This window comes from Homo sapiens, chromosome 6, assembly GCF_000001405.40.
Source record: "Homo sapiens chromosome 6, GRCh38.p14 Primary Assembly".
NCBI lineage: Eukaryota > Metazoa > Chordata > Mammalia > Primates > Hominidae > Homo > Homo sapiens.
The window spans coordinates 37,573,081-37,591,590 of record NC_000006.12 but is presented as its reverse complement, the minus strand read 5'-3'; the positions used below and the strand labels follow the sequence as shown (position 1 = coordinate 37,591,590).

Genomic DNA, 18,510 nt, shown 5'->3' with positions numbered 1-18,510 from the left:
CTGGGTCTCTCCCCGGGACTCAGTAGGTATCACCCTGTCCCCAGTCACCCTCTAGTCCTGTCCTCAGCCCTGGCCCACCTTTGCGGACCCCTTTGAAGGAGGAAAGACCTTGCTTCCACATGGCCTGCCCCCACCCTGGCCTGCCCTGCTCTGATTCCCCACTTTCTTGTCTGCCCCGCTTCTTACTTCTTTTAATCTTTCCTGGAAGCAGAATCCCAGAACCCTCTGGGTAATATTCACCAAGCCAGCACCGAACCAGGCGCTGGGGATTCAGCCATGCCCCAAAGAGACAACCTTCCTGCTCATGGAGCTGACTTTCCAGGGTGGCAAGATGGGAAAGAATGATATGGCAGGTGGCCACCAGTGCTGTGGTGACCAGAGGAGAAGCTGGTGATCTAAATGGGGTGGTACTGGGAGGCCTCTCTGGGGAGAGGAGCAGAGAGCTGAACAAAGAGAAGGAGTGAACCATGTAGACATGTCAGGAAGAGCTTTCCAGGCCAAGAGAACAGCAAGTGCAAAGGCCCTGACTCCGGAAAGGCTGGCATTGGGAAATAGCACAGAGGCTGGTGTGGCCAGTATTGGGGAGGGACCAGGGACCACATGGTGCAGGGCTTCTGGACCTGCCTAGTAGCCTTGGCTTTTATGCTGGGTGAGATGCAAAGGTTTGCACCAGTGTGGGGCCTCAGTTGCCTTGTTTTAAAAGATCCCTCTGGCTGTGATGAGAATAGACTATAGGGGTACAAGGGTAGAAGCAGGTGCAATTGCCCAGGCCAGCGGTGGCCCAGGCCAGGTGGTGGCAACAGGCGTATATGTGAGTGCCCACACAGACACACACTCACTCACACGATACACAAACACGACACACAAACACACACACAGACACACAAACACACACAGACACACACATAGACACACAGATACACATGCACAGACACTCTTAATCATTCCAAACCTATGTTGAAGTCAGGACTGATATCATTATCACCTCTAGAAAGAATACACACAGACACACACACACACTCTCTTAATCATTCCAGATCTACGTTGGAGTCAGGACTGATATCATTATCACCTCTAGAAAGAACCCTAGAAATCCTTTCCCATCCCCATTTTCTAGATGACAAAACTGAAGCCCAGTGAGGGGAAGAGACCCATCGGCCACACACTCGGTTGGGATCATAGACCTGGGGTGTCTGTTCAGACCCTGCTCCTGTGCTCTTGCCCCAGCATCTCTCTCTGCCTCTTAAGGTTTGCACTATGTGTCCTTTCCCCTGTTTGTCCTTCTCCGTTCCCAGTCTTTGTCTCTCTACCTCTGCAGATGCCTCCACGTTGATTTCTCCTCCTGTCAGGCCCAATTTGGAACATTAATTAGTGATGAATTAGCAATGCAAATCCCAGCAGTTGCCGTCGCCTGGTACCCACGGGCTCTTGGAAGGGACCTTGCAAATCTGATCTTAATACCTCTCGCCTCCTCTCCTAGGGCAATTACTTCTCACATCATTTGTCTGCGGAGGCGGTGTCCAACCCCCACCCTCCCAGCCTGGCTGAGGACAACAAGTTCATCTTTGTCAATTAATTATTGAACGGTTTATTTCGCACTGGGAGGCGATAAGAGAAGGGAAAACCGCATGTTGTGAAATCATCACCGTAATTATACAGACGCTGCTGCATCGCCCAGCATCACAACGCCGCAGGTGCCTGTGGGGGGTGGGAAGAGAAGGAAAGGGCAGAAGTCCCAGGAGGGAGACCTGACTGTGTGGTCTTAGGATACCCTTTGGGCCTCTCTGAATTGTGTTGGACAGACACACCCACATGGAGCTTGCGGAGCCCACCTCCACGTGAGGAGGGGATCTGCAGAATTAAGGTCATAGGTACACAGGTGCAGGCCCCTGCTTCCTTAGCTGGGGTGATCAGACTGTAGGAGGGCTGAAGATGTCCTTATGGTCCTTCCCACCTGAGCTTCAGAGGCCCACAGCAGGCCAAAAATACGGTGGCATGGTAGAGGGTCTTTGATACTCTAGCAGAAAGCCCTTACGAAGACCTGCAAGGCCCAGAGCATCTGTCCCAGCCCCAGCCCTCACCCCTGGCCTTTTACCTCTCACGTCATCTCTGATGGGTCCCAATATTGCTTATTCCACTCCAATCACACAGATCTCTTTGCTACTCGCTGTACCTGCTGGATACACACCTGCCCCAGGGCCTTTGAATGTGCTGTTCCTTCTGCTTGAAGTGCTCTTTCCTGGGAGAGCTGAGTGGCTCTATCACTTCCTGCAGGTCATTCTCAAGCACCAGGTTTCAGGGAGACCCACGCTGAGCATTTCTTTCAAAATTCTGGTGGGGACCCCAAAACAAACCATCTCTCTCTCTTCCTGTTTTATTTTTCTCCAGAACACTTCATCACATTTCATATATGATGTATTTTACATATTTGTTTATTCTCTGTCTCTTTTTCTCTTACAGAGCATAAGCTCCACAAGGGGCTGGGATTTTCGTCCGTCTCACCCTCCAGCACCCAGCCCCTGCATTCCACCTGTGTCTGCAGTGCTTAGAACTGTGCCTGGCACAAAATAAGTGCAGAGGTCATTGTTATTGAATGAGTGAATGAATGAATGAATGAATGAATGACTATTTGTGTGGGACAAAGCCTGGATGTGGAAAGGACAGAGGTGAGTTCTTTTTCCTGGAACAGGCCAGCAAGGGCCACTGCAGGACCAGGAATTTAGGAAGACTCTTGGCACAGATGGGAGGCCCTGGCCAGGAAGGAAAACTGCTGGAAAAATCATTTTAAAAGCAAGTGTTCCAGTTGATTTCGTGTCTGTGCACGCCTTGAGGCTGGCATGTTTGATGCTGCCCCTCCATCGGTCACATGCAGAACAGCCCCCACCCCTTCTCAACTCCCCAGGGAGGGCACAGGAACATGAGTAGTTGCAGACACTTTGATTAACTCCCCAGCAAGAGTCCCCACGCCTGTGTCTCCTTCTCTCCCAAAGCTGTAATGGGGGGCAGTGAGCTGAGGGCTGGGGGATGGGTGGAGTGAAGCTGGGGCCTGCAGGGGTGGAGGCGACTGAGAAGAGGAGTGGGAGGAGGGAAAGGGCTTCTGCCCCTACCATGGGGAGATAGGGAAGATGAGTAGGTAGATAATGTGGGGCGGGGAGGGGGTTACTTGGTGATACATGTGGGGAGGTATTGTAGTCAAGAAGGCACCTCTCTCTCTAGGACAGAAGGAGATGCAGAAAGAGAGACCTCCAGGGGGCTTAGGGAGGGATGGGGTCCCTGGTGGCCCAGCATTTCTGAACAGGACCCTCTCTCCCTGATGCTATTCTCTGCCCTCTTCGCAGAGCTATGCTGTCGCTCCCCCAAGAAACGAAGATGGTGATTTTTTAAAGCCAGTTTTCCCCCAAATCTCTGGAGATGCTGGAGCTGCTGTTTCCATGGAAACCTTCCCACCAACCTCAGGGAAGGAGGAGCTGGGCAGCCGCCCCTGCCCCCACCACCCCGATACCTCCCTGGCTCCAGCCTGCAGGGGGCCCCAAGTTGAAAATAATCCCCCTCCCCCAGATTTTCCCAGCAGGGGCTCCGCTTCGCAGAGGGGAAGGCAGCTGGTTTTGTCTCTGCTGCTCAGGCCTATAAGTGAGATCACTAAGACCCAGGCAAGAGGGAAGCGGGGCTGCGGCTGGGGCAAGCTCTGTCTTCGGTCAGCACCATCCCGGGAGTGACTGGCCAGGGAAGGGCCCAGGGGCAGGATCTCTCCTTCCCAGGAAATCCCCAAGGATGCCTGTTTATCTCTGGCCCTGTCCATCTCTGGGGAAGTCCCATTCCTAGCCCCCAGTCCCACCTGATTTCATGAGGGACTGTGGCTTCGACTATAAAAACAACAAAACAAAACAAAAAAGCACCTCTGGCCCACTCAAGTCAGAAAGGAATTTACCGGGAGGACACATCAAGTAGCTCCTTGCGACCGGGCAAGGTGGCCCACGCCTGTAATCCTAGCACTTTGGGAGGCCAAGGCAGGCAGATCACTTGAGGTCAGGAGTTTGAGACCAGCCTGGCCAACATGGTGAAACCCCACCTCTACCAAAAATACAAAAATTGACTGGGCGTGGTGGCGTGTGCCTGTAATCCCAGCTACTTGGGAGGCTGAGATAGGCGAACTGCTTGAACCAGGGAGGTGGAGGTTGCAGTGAGCCAAGATTGCGCCACTACACTCCAGCCTGGGCAACAGACGCAGACTCCGACTTGGAAAAAAAAAAAGAAAAGAAAAAAAAGCAGCTCCTTGAATTGATGGGAAGTTGAGAAGCAGGCTTGGAAAACTGGCCAGAAGCAAAATAGGCTGGTTGAAGGGGAGGCAGGCAGTCATGGCCAGAGACAGCCCAGCTAGGGCAGGGGACATTGCCGCCTCTGGACACCGGCCACCTGAGGACACCCAGCTCATCTGGACACTGGTACATCATGAGCAATTTGTGACGGTCCCACTTTTGCATCCCACTCTCTCCAGGTCAAGATCCCAGACAAAGGGATAGTAGGAAGGAGTTTTTTGGGAACTGTTCTGTGTCCTGATTGTGGTGGTGGTGACATGAATCTATGCTTGTGCTAGAAATTCATAAAACAGCCATGCCCAGTGGCTCACACCAGTAATCTCAGCCCTTCGGGAGGTTGAGGCAAGAGGATTGCTTGAGCCCAGGAGTTTGAAACCAGCCTGAGCAACATAGTGAGACTCTGTCTCTATTATGTAAACAATTTTTAAATATAAAAATAGAAAACCACAAAACTATACACCAAAATAATTACATCAATTTTGCTCTATGTTAATTTAAAAAATAAAATCCTGGACAAAAACGCCCTACTGGCCACAGTAGTTTGTGTGCCCACAGACGAGTTGCCAGGTCAGGGAAGGGAGACGCTGCCACAGTCTCGGCTCACTGTAACCTCTGCCTCTGCACCCCTTTGGCTTTCAGAATGAGTTGGGTCTCTGCCATCCAGATTCACACTGTGGGAAATTCTGCTAAGAGGGAGGGAGCTTGGATACAGGGCAGCCAGCAGATGGGCAGATACCCACTTCCCCCAAGGCGCCTTTGGGTCCTTGGGAGCTTCTGAGGAAATGGCCCCCGACCCCACTGCGATGGCCACCCCTTCAGTCCGACCAGCAGCTCCTGAAGGGGAGGAGCAAGAGCAAGTTTCCTACCCAGTGGACAGAGGGGAACGTGATCACCATGCCAGAGCAGGTGCACATGCTCAGGCTCTGATGCATGTTCACGCAGCCCCCCAGCATCAGTCTGGTCATCAGGGGACCTGAGGTTGCATCTGGACTTTGGCCCTAACTTACTGCATGATCTTGGATAAATCCCTCTCCCCTCTGGGCCAAGTTGTCTCCTCTGTGGAATGCGGGGCTTCTCGACGGTGCTGTCCAGCTCTGGCATAGTGAGCACTGAGGCACCACAACGAATTGAACTGGCTCTTAGGAAGCCTGGGTAAGTCCATACCACTGTCCTGGACTGCAGTGGGTGGGTGAATGACCACATGTCGCAGGGAGACTCCACAGGTCCTCCCGATGAGAAGCACTCTTATGCCAAAGAGGAGACTCAGGCCAAAGTAAGGACACTCCCCCTCCAGAGAGTAGGAGTGCAGCGTGGGTGATTCCCCTCCTGTTTGCCAGTGCGAGGATGGGACTCTGGGAGCCTGGGGATGGGAGGTACAGTGGGTTTCCCAGGCCTGGACCCAAAGGGGATTGTATCCTCTGAGACCCCAGGCTCCAGGGCAGTGGGGATCTTGAATCAGGAGTATTTAACAAGCTCAGCGCTGGGCTTCACATACCCCAACTCTCAGTGTCCAGGCTTGTGGATGACATCCTCCCTGGAAAAATGCAATTCCTGATTCCTACAGCTTGTGTGCAGAGCAGCAGGGAGGGATAGCTTCTAGGTCCTGGATGTACATGAGTGTGCATCCGAGCTTCTCTCCCTTCCTCTGAGCCACTATGACACCTTGATCCCCTCACCACTTTAAGCACCTCTTCCAGCCCTTTCCTTGTCTGAAGAGCTTGCTCTCCCCCTGGCATCATGTGGGTGAATGGGGGTCTTGAGAGGCGGTGGGAGGAGCCCACATCCCAGGGGGTCTGGGGAGGCTGAAGGCAAGGGGAACAGTGACAGTGTGGCTTTCTGCACGGTCTGAGAGATCAGACAAGATGACAACAGCGAGACGGCTCAGAATCCTGGCAGAGGAGGCAGGGCTGGGGGCAGGGCTGGGGACACACACACACACCTGGGGCCTCCTCTCCTACATTCACATGGCCCTGGGCCCTGCTCTCTCCCTGCCCCCCTGCCCACCTGGAGCCCTGCTGCCTGGCCTGGGCCAGGATCCCAGAGAGGAAGGTGGGGAGGGAAGGTGGCAGGGGGTCTCCAAGGGGCCTGCCCTACATGGCAGGAGGCGGGCAGGGGAGGCAGGGGAATGTGCCACGGGACAGCATAGGCTTCCCTGAACTCATTCACCAAAAAAGCATGAGCCTTTCCCATAATTTTAAAGGTACCCTGTTGACCTGCCATGTTGCTATGGCTGTATGAGAAGATGAAACCAAGAGAGGCAACGCCGAGTGTCAGAAAGGGCGCCTTTCTCTGGCCTGCTCCCTCAGCAACCACAGGGCCCATCCTGTCCCATCCCCACCCCGGCTGCTGGGTACGTGGCTCCAGCAGCTCGGGGAGGCTGGGGCCCTCTGCCCTGGGTGTGGCGATGGAGAGTGTGAAACTGGACACCAGGAGCACAGAGAAGGGAGAAGGGGGAAAGCCCACTGGGAGCCAGCATTTTCCAAGGCTCTTTGTGCTGTCATGGTGGCAGAGGTGAAAGGTCCATCCAAGCTCCCTGGCCGCCCCCAGCTCGTGGGGAGGCACACAGATTAGCAACGACAACCCAGCTAATGCAGTTGGAGAGGGTGAGCACAGGGTCGGCAGGAGGAGGCGCCGACCCCACCAAGGGAGGAAGACGCAGCAGTGAGCCCCAGGGGAGAGGCCAGGGAGAGAGGCAGGAGGGGAGTTCAAGGGGCACCTGGAGGCCAGGAGGGGTGCTGGGGCAGCATAATTACACCTGTTCAGTGTGGAGCTGCTGGGATTCCTTCTGCTGTGTGTCCACCTGCTTTATATGAGTTGATTATGAGTTTGATTCTTGGCACAAAGTTAGGATGATGGAAATGCATTCTGGGCTCTTCAGTCGGGTACTGTTAACCCGCATGTGGGTTCTGAGCACCAGAAATATGGTGAGGATGCTGAGGAGCTGAGCTTCCAGCTGTATTACTTTTTTTTTTTTTTTTTGGGACGGAGTTTCACTCTTGTCACCCAGGCTAGAGTGCAATGGCATAATCTCAGCTCACTGCAACCTCCACTTCCAGGTTTCAAGTGATTCTCCTGCCTCAGCCTCCCCAGTAGCTGGAATTACAGGCGTGCACCACCATGTTAGCTAATTTTTCTATTTTTAGTAGAGACAGGGTTTTACCACGTTGGCCAGTCTGGTCTCAAACTCCTGACCTCAGGTGATCCAATGGCCTCGGCCCCCCAAAGTGCTGGGATTACAGGCGTGAGCCACCGTGCCCGGCCCACCTGTATTACATTTTAATTAATACAAATGCAAATGTTAAGTAGCCACCAGGGCCTCATAGCTACTGTGTGGGCAGCAGAGTATGGACACACTGGGGTACAGTGTTGATGTTGGAGAGACAGACATTCAACCAATACCCATTGGTCTAGTGTCAGGTTGTGATAAATGCTATGGAGAAAAACTGAGTTAGAGGGATGTAGCCGGCTGCTGTTCTAGAAAGGGTGGTCAAGGAAGGGTCTTGTAAAAAGGTGACCTGTGCAGAGACTTGTGTGCAAGGAGAGGATGTCCCTGGGGTATTCGGGGAGGCCACAGTGCCTGAAGCATCGTGGGAAACAAAGTCCAAGTGGATCCAGGGGCCAAAGTCAGTCGGGCCTTGCAGTCATGGAAAGGAGTGTGGGTTTTGTGTTATGAAGTGAAGCCCTTGGTCATTGCCACAGCTGACAGGACCAGGAATTAGCTACCCTGGTAAACCCAGCTATCGACTGCACCCGAGCGGCTACACACCACTGGAGCAGTTCAGGGAGAAAGCCACCGGCATGCTCACCGTATGTCTCTGGCTCTGTTTCCTCTTTCTGCTTCCCCTTCCCCACCTCTGAGTCTCTGTGTTCTGCTCATGCCAATTCCCCTTCTGCCTGTCTCTGCCCGCTTCTCTCTGGGCTGGTCTCTCCGAGACTCTGTTCCCTTGGCTGGCATGCCCTCCACCTCCCCTGATGGTTCAGCAGAGATGAAGCCGGCCTGGCTCATGGGTGTGGGTAATGTACTAGTGCAGGAGAGTGGTGGGGCCCAGTCTGGGTGCAGGAGTGAGAGGCATTAAGGCCTTAAAGACCCCTCATTCATGCCCAGGAGAAAGGCTATCCCAGCTCTGGGAAAGGGTGGTGGAGAAGGCTGTGGGAGGGGAGTCCTGTTCTACAGGCAGAGCCAGGATTTGCCCGGGACCCCAGGAACAGGGTAAGCAATGCTCACCATTTCCCAAGGTAACCAGGATAGAACGACCCTTCCCAGCTCCTTCCCAGCTCTTTCTCAGCCTCCATCTCAAGGAGACGCAAGGGGCTGGGGCGAAGGGTGTACAAGAGTTTCTGTCTACCCAGTGGGTCTCTGAAGAGCAAAATGGAGGGGTGGCGTGTATTAGTTTCCTTGTTGCAGCTTTCACAAATTACTACAACCCTTGTGGCTTAAAGCAACACACATTTATTTTCTTATAGTTCTAGGAGTCAAGAGTCCAAAATGAATCTTATAAGGGCTGAGAGGAGTGGCTCACCCCTGTAATTCCAGCACTTTGGGAAGCTGAGGTGGATGGATTGCTTGAACCCAGGAGTTTGAGACCAGCCTGGGCAACATGGTGAAAACCCATCTCTACATAAAATACAAAAAATTAGCCGGGTGTGGTAGTGCATGCCTGTGGTCCCAGCTACTTAGGAGGCAGAGGTTGCTGTAAGCTGAGATCATGCCACAGCACTCTGGCCTGGGAAACAGAGTGATATCCTAGCTCATAAATAAATAAATAAATAAATCTTCTGGGGCTAAAATCAAGGTGTTGGCAGGACTGCATTCCTTTCAGAGGCTCCGGCCCAGGGCGGGGGAGGGGCTTCATTGTTGGCCTCTTCCAGTTTCTAGACGCTGCCAGCATTTTTTGATTTGGCGGCGACATCACTCCAGTCTCTGTGTCTACCACCATATCTCTGACTCTCCTGCCTCTTCCATTTATGGGGACCCTTGTGATGACACTGGGCCCACCCCAGTAACCCAGGATAATCTCTCCTTCTCAAGATCCTTAATTTAATCATACCTACAAAGTTCCTTTTCTATAAGGAATAAGGAATAAGATAGCATACACAGGCTGCAGGGATTAGGACGTGGACTTCTTGATGGTGGCCGTATTCCACCTATCACAGGGGCTCCACACAGGGTAGACTGCTGCAGCCCCGTGAGGACAGAACTCTGTCTTTTCTCACTGCTGTTCCTGCCTTCTAGAGCTTGGGCAAAGTCACAGGATTGCACGGGCTCTGGAGCCACCTGCATTCATTCCTGGCTCTGCCTCTTCCTAGTGGTGATCCTTGGCAAGTCACTTAACCCATCTGTGCCTCAGTTTCTTTCTGTGTAAAATGGGGATAATAACAGTACTACCCTCAAAGGTTTTTTGTAAGGATTCGATGAGTTAATCCATCTAAGGTGCAGAGAAGCATGTCTGGCACGTCCATAAGGGCTCCGGATGGAATGTGCAGTGCCCAGCACATGGCGAGCATGTCACCTACCATCATTCTGATTGCAGTTCCTTCTCTAACGCTTCCCATGGGCCCAGCCCTGGGATAGGCCTGTGGCAACTACCGAAGAAGGCAGGGCATTTCTTGTGCTCAAGGAATTCAGACTTGCATCAGGAATACAAAGGCTCAGCCGGGCATGGTGGCTCATGCCTATAATCACAGCACTTTGGGAGGCCGAGATGGTTCTATCAATGGAGGCCAGGAGTTTGAGACTAGCCTGGCCAATATGGTGAAACCCCCATGTTTACTAAAAATACAAAAATTAGCCGGGCATGGTGGGACACGCCTGTAATCCCAGCTACTCTAGAGGCTGAGGTGAGAGAATCACTTAAACCTGGGAGGCAGAGGTTGCAGTGAGCTGAGATCACGCCACTGCACTCCAGCCTGGGCGACAGATGGAGAAACTCCATCAATAAAATAAAATAAAATAAAATAAAATAAAATAAAATAAAATAAAATAAAATAAAATAAAATAAAATAAAGGCTTATAGAAACATAAAACTTTACTTTTTCTGGAAGGACTTCTAAAAATTATTTCACAAATGTTTGTGCTCTTACGTTTTCTTCATGATGTATCTGTGATCATCACTGGTGCAATCTGCCAAGTCTCTCCAGCTCGCCGCCTTCTGGGCAGGTGGCAGAGTTGCACTCGTTGCCTCCATGTGGGTGGGCCAGGTTCTAGGACTGGTCCTGGCCAATGAGTTGTGAGCACCATGAAAGTGTCACTTTCAGGCCGTGGCATTTAATTCCTGGTGAGAGCGAGACCTTCCAGCGTTCTCTCTTGCCCTCTGTCACAGCGTCTCTGTCAGCCAGTGCTCTGAGTGACTGCCATGAGCACAGCCTCCTGCTGACCCACGACGAACATGGAGAGTAAGAATTAAATTGAGTTGTCTTACGGCCCTGAAATTTAGGAGTTGCTTGTCACCTCAGCATAACCTAGCCTCTCCTGACCGATTCAGCAACTAAACTTGTTTACAGAGGGAAAAATCCAATCAACACCATCACACTATTATTGATGACTCACCATTCAATCACCATCTCTGTACCAATCTATAACTTAAATAGCTGGGATCCATGAAGAACATCCACTTTTGTGCCTACTTTTCCATTCAACGTTTTTTCCCTGCGTGTTTCTATCAGTTAGAACTTGATTTGGTTATTAATGGCAGAAAATCCAAATTAACAATGATTAAACACCCAGGGTTACTTTAATCCCTCAAGTAAAAAGTTCAGAAGTAGGCAGTCCAGGGCTGACACGGTGACCTGGTGATAATGAATCAGCTTCCTTCTTTCACGTGACTCTGCCATGCACAGCAGATGCCTTCCTCCAAATGGCCCAAGGTGGCTGCTGAAACTCAAATGATCACAACTGCATTCCGGCCAGCGGGAAGGAAGAAAGCTCCAGGAGGGGCATGCTCCTCTCTGTAATGACATGTGTCACAGATGACTGTTCTGTTTATATCCCTTTGGCCAGAACTTGGTCACAAGGCCACACCTAGTTGCAAGGGATATTGGGAAATGGAATATCTCTTCTGGGCAGCCATGTACCCTGCTAAAGTTTTTTCTAAGGGTGGAAGAGAGATGGATCCAGGGAGGCAACCGGCAGCTGCTGCCACAGTGTGAGCTGTTATTCCTTCACGTATAAATTCCATGGCTTAATGACCAGTTTGGACCTTTCTAGTTTTTTTCACATTCCAGATAATCATATTAGTGCAAATTGCTTTTCTCCATTTGTGTTATTTCTTTGAGATTTATTTCCAAATGTGTGATAACCTGCCAAGCCGAAGGGCATGAGTTGTTCTCTCCGGCAGTAGCTGCTGCTGTTACATTTTGCTATAGCCCAAACAATAGAGCTGTGGAGAATTTAGGAGCCAATGTTCCCGTTTCCTCCCAGCTGGGCCAACATTGCCTCGTACTATTTTCATCTCTTTTAATTAATTTAACATGTGTGTTGTTTAAGGATGTTTTCGTTTTCATGTTATTCACTGGCAGTCAGCTGAGATTTGGGCCCAGGACTGGTTTCCCAACTACATTTTCTCACATATTAACTTTTTTTTTTTTCCAACTGGAAGGAAATCTTTAATGCCCATTTTAGAGCTGAGAAAACTGAGGCCCTAAGGATGACGTCACATGCAGTTATGACAGAGGCAGTACTGCACCCTAGCTTGGACTCCTAGCCCAGTGCTCCTACAAACAGCGTGTTTAAAGGATAAAGGAGGTATATGATGGAGGCTGAAATGCAGTAAGAAAGCACTGGATGGGAAATTGTGGGCCTCCCTAGGTGAGGTTTGTTTTGACTAATTAACCCCCATGGCTTTGTGCAAGCTGCTTCCTTTCCCTGGGCCTCACTTTCCCCAGATGCAGAGTAGGAAGGGTGGAGCAGACCCTCTCCAAGACCCTTCCAGCTCTTGATGGAAAGTACAATAATCAGTGCTAGGACAACTGAGGAGGATGGGGTAGGAAGGTGGGGAAGACAGGGGAGATCCACGGGGCCTAGGGAAGGTGGCAGAGGTCAGGGATGGGGGGTCTGGAGAGGGGCAGGCTGGAGCCAGGGTCTTGTCTTCCTGCCTGTGTTTGCACTGTGCTACCACTGTGTCTGTCTTGAGTTCGGGCTGAGGGTAAACATGCACAGTCTATTTTGGGTGTGCTGGTGAGGACTGAGTATTAGGATGAGGCAGGGTCACTCTTACCTCACCCCAGGGAGGTAGGATGCGGCCGGAGGTGCTTCTCCTGTGGTGACAGGGACAGTGGAGTAATCTGGAGCCCAGGAGGGGAGGCCTCCTCAGGCCTGCTACTAGAAGGCCTGGCCCCCGCCCATTCTCAATTCTCGCAGGAGAGAGTGTTCCCCTGACGCTCCTATGGTCTCTTCTCAACACAGCAGCTACAGAGATTTTTTTTTTTTTTTTTTTTGAGACGGTGTCTCGCTCTGTTGCCTAGGCTGGAGTGCAGTGGTGAGATCTCAGCTCACTGCAAGCTCCACCTCCCGGGTTCATGCCATTCTCCTGCCTCAGCCTCCCGAGTAGCTGGGACTACAGGTGCCCGCGACCATGCCCGGCTAACTTTTTGTATTTTTTTTAGTAGAGACGGGGTTTCACTGTGTTAGCCAGGATGGTCTCTATCTCCTGATCTCATGATCTGCCCGCCTCGGCCTCCCAAAGTGCTGGGATTCCAGGCATGAAGCACCACGCCCGGCCAGAGATTTTTTAAAAACATAAGCGAGGTCATGTCATGTCCCTCCTCTGCTCGGCAGGGCTGCTCATTTCACTCGGAGTAAAGGTGCAAGCCCTCACCATGGACTACCAGCTGCCTACAATCTGGCCCCTCGTGATCTCCCTGACTTTCCGTCCTGCCACTCTCCCCCGGTTCACTCCACTCCCGCTGCCCCTGCCTCCCTGATGGCTCCTCGAATCCCGGGCACTCTCCTACCCCAGGGCCTTTGCTCCGGCTGCTGCCTCTGCCTGGAGCGCTCTTCCCCCAGGCGTCTGCAGAGCTGACTCCCTCACCTCCTTCAGGTCTGTGCTCCACTGTCACCCCTATGGCACTATTTAAAGCTGTCACGCTCCCCCCACCAGCACTTCCCACCCTCCATCCCTGCTGTATTGTCAATAGCACGCATGCCCTTTAATATACTATAGAATTTGATTATTTCCTTTGTCCTATCAGCTTTTCTCTGCTAAAATGTGAGCTCCATGAGGCAGAGATATTTGTCTCTTGTTTCCTGATGCACAGTAAGTGCGCAGGGCATATTCATGGAATGAATGAATGAATGTAGTCCAGCCCCTCGTTTCACACAGTGGAGGCAGTGTCCTTGAGCTAACAGAAAAAGTTAGCAGCAGGATCCAGGAGCAGACCAAACACCTCCAGACACGCAGTCCAGTGCTCCTTAAGCCCCTCCAGGTTTGATAAAGCTGAGTGCGGCAGATGGCGTTCGGGCCCCACTGAGATCTCCTCCAATCACTTTTTTTTTTTTTAGACGGAGTCTCACTCTTGTTGCCCAGGCTGGAGTGCAATGGCGCAATCTTGGCTCACTGCAACCTCCGCCTCCCGGGTTCAAGCAATTCTCCTGTCTCAGCCTTCCGAGTAGCTGGGATTACAAGCACAAGCAGTCACGCCCAGCTAATTTTTTGTATTTTAGTAGAAACGGGGTTTCACCGTGTTGCCCAGGCTGGTCTCGAATGCCTGAGCTCAGACAATCCACCTGCCTTGGCCTCCCAAAGTGCTGGGATTACAGGCGTGAGCCACTGTGCCCGGCCTCCAATCCCTTTAAGTGGTTTGTGTGCTCACCCCCAGCTTCAGGGGGCTTTGTAGCTGACATGTGGCATTGTTACCTTTTCCAGCAGTTTCCCTTGGGCTATTGGAGCCAGCTGCCTCGCCTGTAAGGAGAGCTGGAAATGTCTGAGAATTGGCATTCCTTCCCCTCCAATCACTTCCAGGCAACCTGTAGGCAGGAACCAGTAGGAGAGTAAAAAGATCAGCAACGGTAGCTTGAAGCAGGACCAATCCCGAGGTGTGATTTACCTTCCAGCCATCCCTGTGGAGTCAGGCTGAGGTTGGGACCTCACCTGCAATCTCCCCTTGCTTGGCTTCTTCCTCTTTCTTATCCTGCTTTACCCGCTGTCTTGCCAGATTCTCAAGGGGGCATTCCAGTAATATATCATATGTGAATATAAATGATATATATGGCAGGGTCAGCTTCTGGAAGAACCCAACTGGAGATATGGGCTTCTGTGCTCATCTGGGATAGACTTTTGGACCAGTGAGGCATAGGAGAAACACCCAAGCTTTAGAGACACATCTGAGCTCAGCCCCTGCCCTGCTGCAAGACCTCGGGAAAAATCCTCAGCTCTCTCTGAGCCCAATTTCTCCTCCTGGAGAAATGGTATGAATTATATCTTTCTATGAAATTGCCGCAGGGATTAAATGAGACGAAAGATGAGAAGCAACCTGCGCAACAGCCAGCACACAGCAGTGATACGAGAAACGTTAGTTTCATCTCAGTCTCCAGCCTGCGGGCCGTTTGTGACCCCTCTCACCTATCTGGATACAGTTTGGGCCTCAAGATCCCTCCTGAGCAGCTGAGCAGACACCGCATAGCTTTGAGTGTGATGAGTCAGAAATGTGTCATTTAAGCTTCAGGGAGTGCTGAGGACATAAAGGAGGGGCATTCTGAGGCCATCAGGACATCTCCCAGAGGGCAATAGGATGAGGCTTAGGATGAATAAGACTGGGAGGAAGGGTGGAAGCAAAACACACACACACACACACACACACACACACTTGAACATGCACACACATGCACACACACATACATGTCCATAAATGTGCACACACACGAACACACATGCGCACATGTACACACACGCACAGGCACACACATGAATGTACACACACGCACACACACGAATACACATGCACACACATACAGGCACCCACACACGAACGCCCCATGGTTCCTGCACCTTACCTACCAGTAGCTGAATGGCACTGCCCAGTGAGGAAACATTGAAAATCACTTCCAGGTTGGGAAAGCGGCTCCTCAGTGGGGCGGGCAGCCTTCATGTGCCTGGTGGAGCCCAGGTGGGGCTGGAAGTTGTCAGGGAAGGAACACAGCCCTTGTTCAGCCCCTTCTCCAGCCTCAGCCTGGCCCAGCCCCAGCCTGGCCCAGCCCTGCTCCCCGCTTTTCTGATCCCCACACATGCTCCTCCTTTGCAGAGCTGAGACCCAGAAAACAGACAAAGAAGAAGGAGTGTGGTCACTATCCCCAACAGGCCCAAGTCTAGGCCACCTTCCTTCTCCTACATCCCACCCATGTGTGGAATATTCCTTCCCATTCTCACCCTCTGAGGCCCTGAGTGACACAATGGCCCCCACAGGGACAGGGCTAAGCCCCAGGAGCCCTGGAAGCTGTGCTCTGGTCATTCCATCCCTACCCCTTCTCTGTCCTTGTATCTGCAGCCCTGTCCCCAAAACCTCACTCCTGCACCAAATTTGTGTCCAGCCTTTCTTATAAGCCCAGCCACTCCCCAGAAGCAAGGGGCAAGTTTATCTTCATTTCTTTTGAACTCTAAGTACAATAGATCCTATTCTAGAGCTAAAATTGTATTACTCATCAGATCCAACCCTCCCAGAATGTTTTGTAAATATGACAACAGAAGCACAGAGGGGGAAAGTCGCTTTTTCAGGTCCCATGGTGAGTTAGTGGCAGAGCCTGAACAAAGTCCTGACTGCTATTCTATTTTATTCTGTCACCACAAGCACATCTGTTATTAGATAGGCCAGAGACACCCATCCTGCCTGTGGCAAGGCCTTGACACAGCCTTTCCAGATGTCCCTTCTCCTGAACGGAAGCAAGGCAGGTGAGAGTGTGGGCCCTGGGGAGCTGTCCTCTGTCTGGCTAACGGTGCTTTTCAGTGGCTGGTGGAAAACTGAGGGAAGAAAAGAGATTATTATAAAGTGCCTGTCATATGTTGGCACTGTGCACCTACCAAGATATTAAAATGGAGGTTTCAAAGTCATCGACATACAATAGAGGTGAAATTTCAAAGTCAGATCTTATACACAGAATTTACCAGGGAAATGTTCAAGAACGAGGTGCATAACTCAGAGCACCCTCAGCCAAGCCAAAGAAATATAAAGAGGGTGGATAGTGGAAAAGAGGACTGGTGAAAAGATTACTCTAGAGAGAGCCCTTGCTATGCCGTGGATCCCATCTCACACCCACCAACATGCCTGTAATAAAAAAGACACATCGTAACAAGCGTTGATGAGGAAGCGGAAGAATTGGAACCCTCATATGCGGCAGAAGAAAACTATCTGGCAGTTCCTCAGAAAGTTAGTTACCCAGGAACTCTACTTCTGGGTAAATACCCAAGAGAAATGAAAACATGTGTCCACACAAAAACTTGTACATGAGTGTTCACAGCAGCATGAAGTCACAGTATTCTAAAAGTGGAAACAACCCAAAAGTCCATCACTATAACAAAATACGATCTATTCGTACGATGGATCATTCAGCCACAAAAAGGAATGATTACTGATACATGCTACAACATGGATGAACCTTGAAAACACCATGCATCGAGAATTAAACATTAAGTGAAAGAAGCCAGTAACAGGCCAGGCACCGTGGCTCAGGCCTATAATCCCAGCACTTTGGGGGGCCAAGGTGGGCGGATCACCTAAGGTCAGGAGTCAAGACCAGCCTGGCCAATATGGTGAAGCCCCATCTCTACAAAATAAATTTTTTTTTTAATTAGCTGAGCGTGGTGGTGCACACCTGTAATCCCAGCTACTGGGGAGGCTGAGGCAGGAGAATCGCTTGAACCCAGGAGGCAGAGGTTGCAGTGAGCCGAGATTGAGGCATTGCACTCCAGCCTGGGTGACAGAGTGAGACTCCCTCTCAAAAAAAAAAAGAAGCCAGTCACAAACGTCAACACATTGTTTGATTCTGTTTCTTTTTTCTCTTTCCTTTTTTTTTTTTTTTTTTTTTTTTGAGACAAAGTTTCGCTCTTGTTGTCCAGGCTGGAATGCAATGGCGTGATCTCGGCTCACCGCAACCTCCGCCTCCTGGGTTCAAGCGATTCTCCTGCCTCAGCCTCCTGAGTAGCTGGGATTACAGGCAGGCGCCACCATACCTAGCAAATTTTGTATTTTTAGTAGAGACGGAGTTTCTCCATGTTGGTCATGCTGGTCTCGAACTCCTGAACTCAGGTGATCTGCCCGCCCGCCTCGGCCTCCCAAAGTGCTGGGATTACAGGCGTGAGCCACCAATTCTGTTTTTATGAAAAGTCCAGAGAAGGCAAATCTCTAAAGACAGAAAGTAGCTGAATGAATTGCCTAGGGCCAGGGAGTGGTGGGGGATGGGGGGATGGGGAGGGACTGCTAATGTGTATAGAGTTTCTTTTTGGGGTGATGAAAATGTTCTAAAACTGATTGTAGTAATGGTCGCATGACTCTTCGAATACACTAAAACAACACTGAATTGCGCATTTTAAAATGGCAGATTTTATGGTGTGTGAATTATATCTCAATAAAGCTGGGGTTTTTTTTGTTTTTTGTTTGTTTGTTTGTTTTTTTAAGTGACTGCAGAATCATCACTTATGCGGGAGAGAGTAGAAAAGTCTTCGGCCTGCTGATGTTTTCAGTTAGGTCAAGGAAAGATAATCCCCACTGAATAAATTTAAAAGAGACTGTGGGACACATTTTTTTTTCAAAATTGCACCGTGGTTCATCACATCCCTTAGATACACAATGTCTTATTTAAGGGTGGTTGTCCAACTAGTGACTGAGAGCTGGCAGGTTCTGGTTTTGAAAAGACTTGACAGGCTGTAGCATAAAAAGATGAAAAAGATTGGGAAAAAAATAATCTTGTGTTCAATATCTGCATACATTCGGAAACAGAGCCAGGCATGGTGGCAGGCACCTGCACACCCAGCTACTTGGGGGCTGAGGCGGGTAGATCGCTGGAGCCCAGGGGTTTGAGGATGCAGTAAGCTATGATTATGCTGCTGCACCCCAGCCTGGGTGACAGAGCAAGACCCTGACACAAAAACAAACAAAAAATGGAAAAACAGAAACAGAAAGGGGTGAGGATATAAGGTGCAACACAATTTTGTGTGAAAAAGACCTGATTTGAACTGATCATAAATTCGATGTTGCTAACCATTTGATA

At 50.8% G+C, this 18,510-nt stretch overlaps 1 long non-coding RNA gene across 1 annotated transcript, besides 2 other annotated features; it reads right to left on the bottom strand.

Annotated features, from left to right (window-relative positions):
- Nucleotides 6,032-6,704: an enhancer, noted in NCBI's record as "H3K4me1 hESC enhancer chr6:37552663-37553335 (GRCh37/hg19 assembly coordinates)". NCBI's record gives its function as "activates a minimal SCP1, AML or CMV promoter by ChIP-STARR-seq in naive H9 embryonic stem cells {active_cell/tissue: H9 hESC(naive)}" and the evidence as "EXISTENCE:reporter gene assay evidence [ECO:0000049][PMID:30033119]".
- Nucleotides 6,705-7,378: an enhancer, noted in NCBI's record as "H3K4me1 hESC enhancer chr6:37551989-37552662 (GRCh37/hg19 assembly coordinates)". NCBI's record gives its function as "activates a minimal SCP1, AML or CMV promoter by ChIP-STARR-seq in naive H9 embryonic stem cells {active_cell/tissue: H9 hESC(naive)}" and the evidence as "EXISTENCE:reporter gene assay evidence [ECO:0000049][PMID:30033119]".
- On the bottom strand, nucleotides 11,029-16,886 carry LOC124901313 (uncharacterized). The gene is made up of 2 exons (XR_007059568.1): nucleotides 14,168-16,886; nucleotides 11,029-11,261 (listed from the first exon to the last, which is right to left on the bottom strand). It is a non-coding gene; the product is annotated as an uncharacterized LOC124901313 (long non-coding RNA).
- Between the last annotated feature and the right edge of the window lie 1,624 nt (nucleotides 16,887-18,510).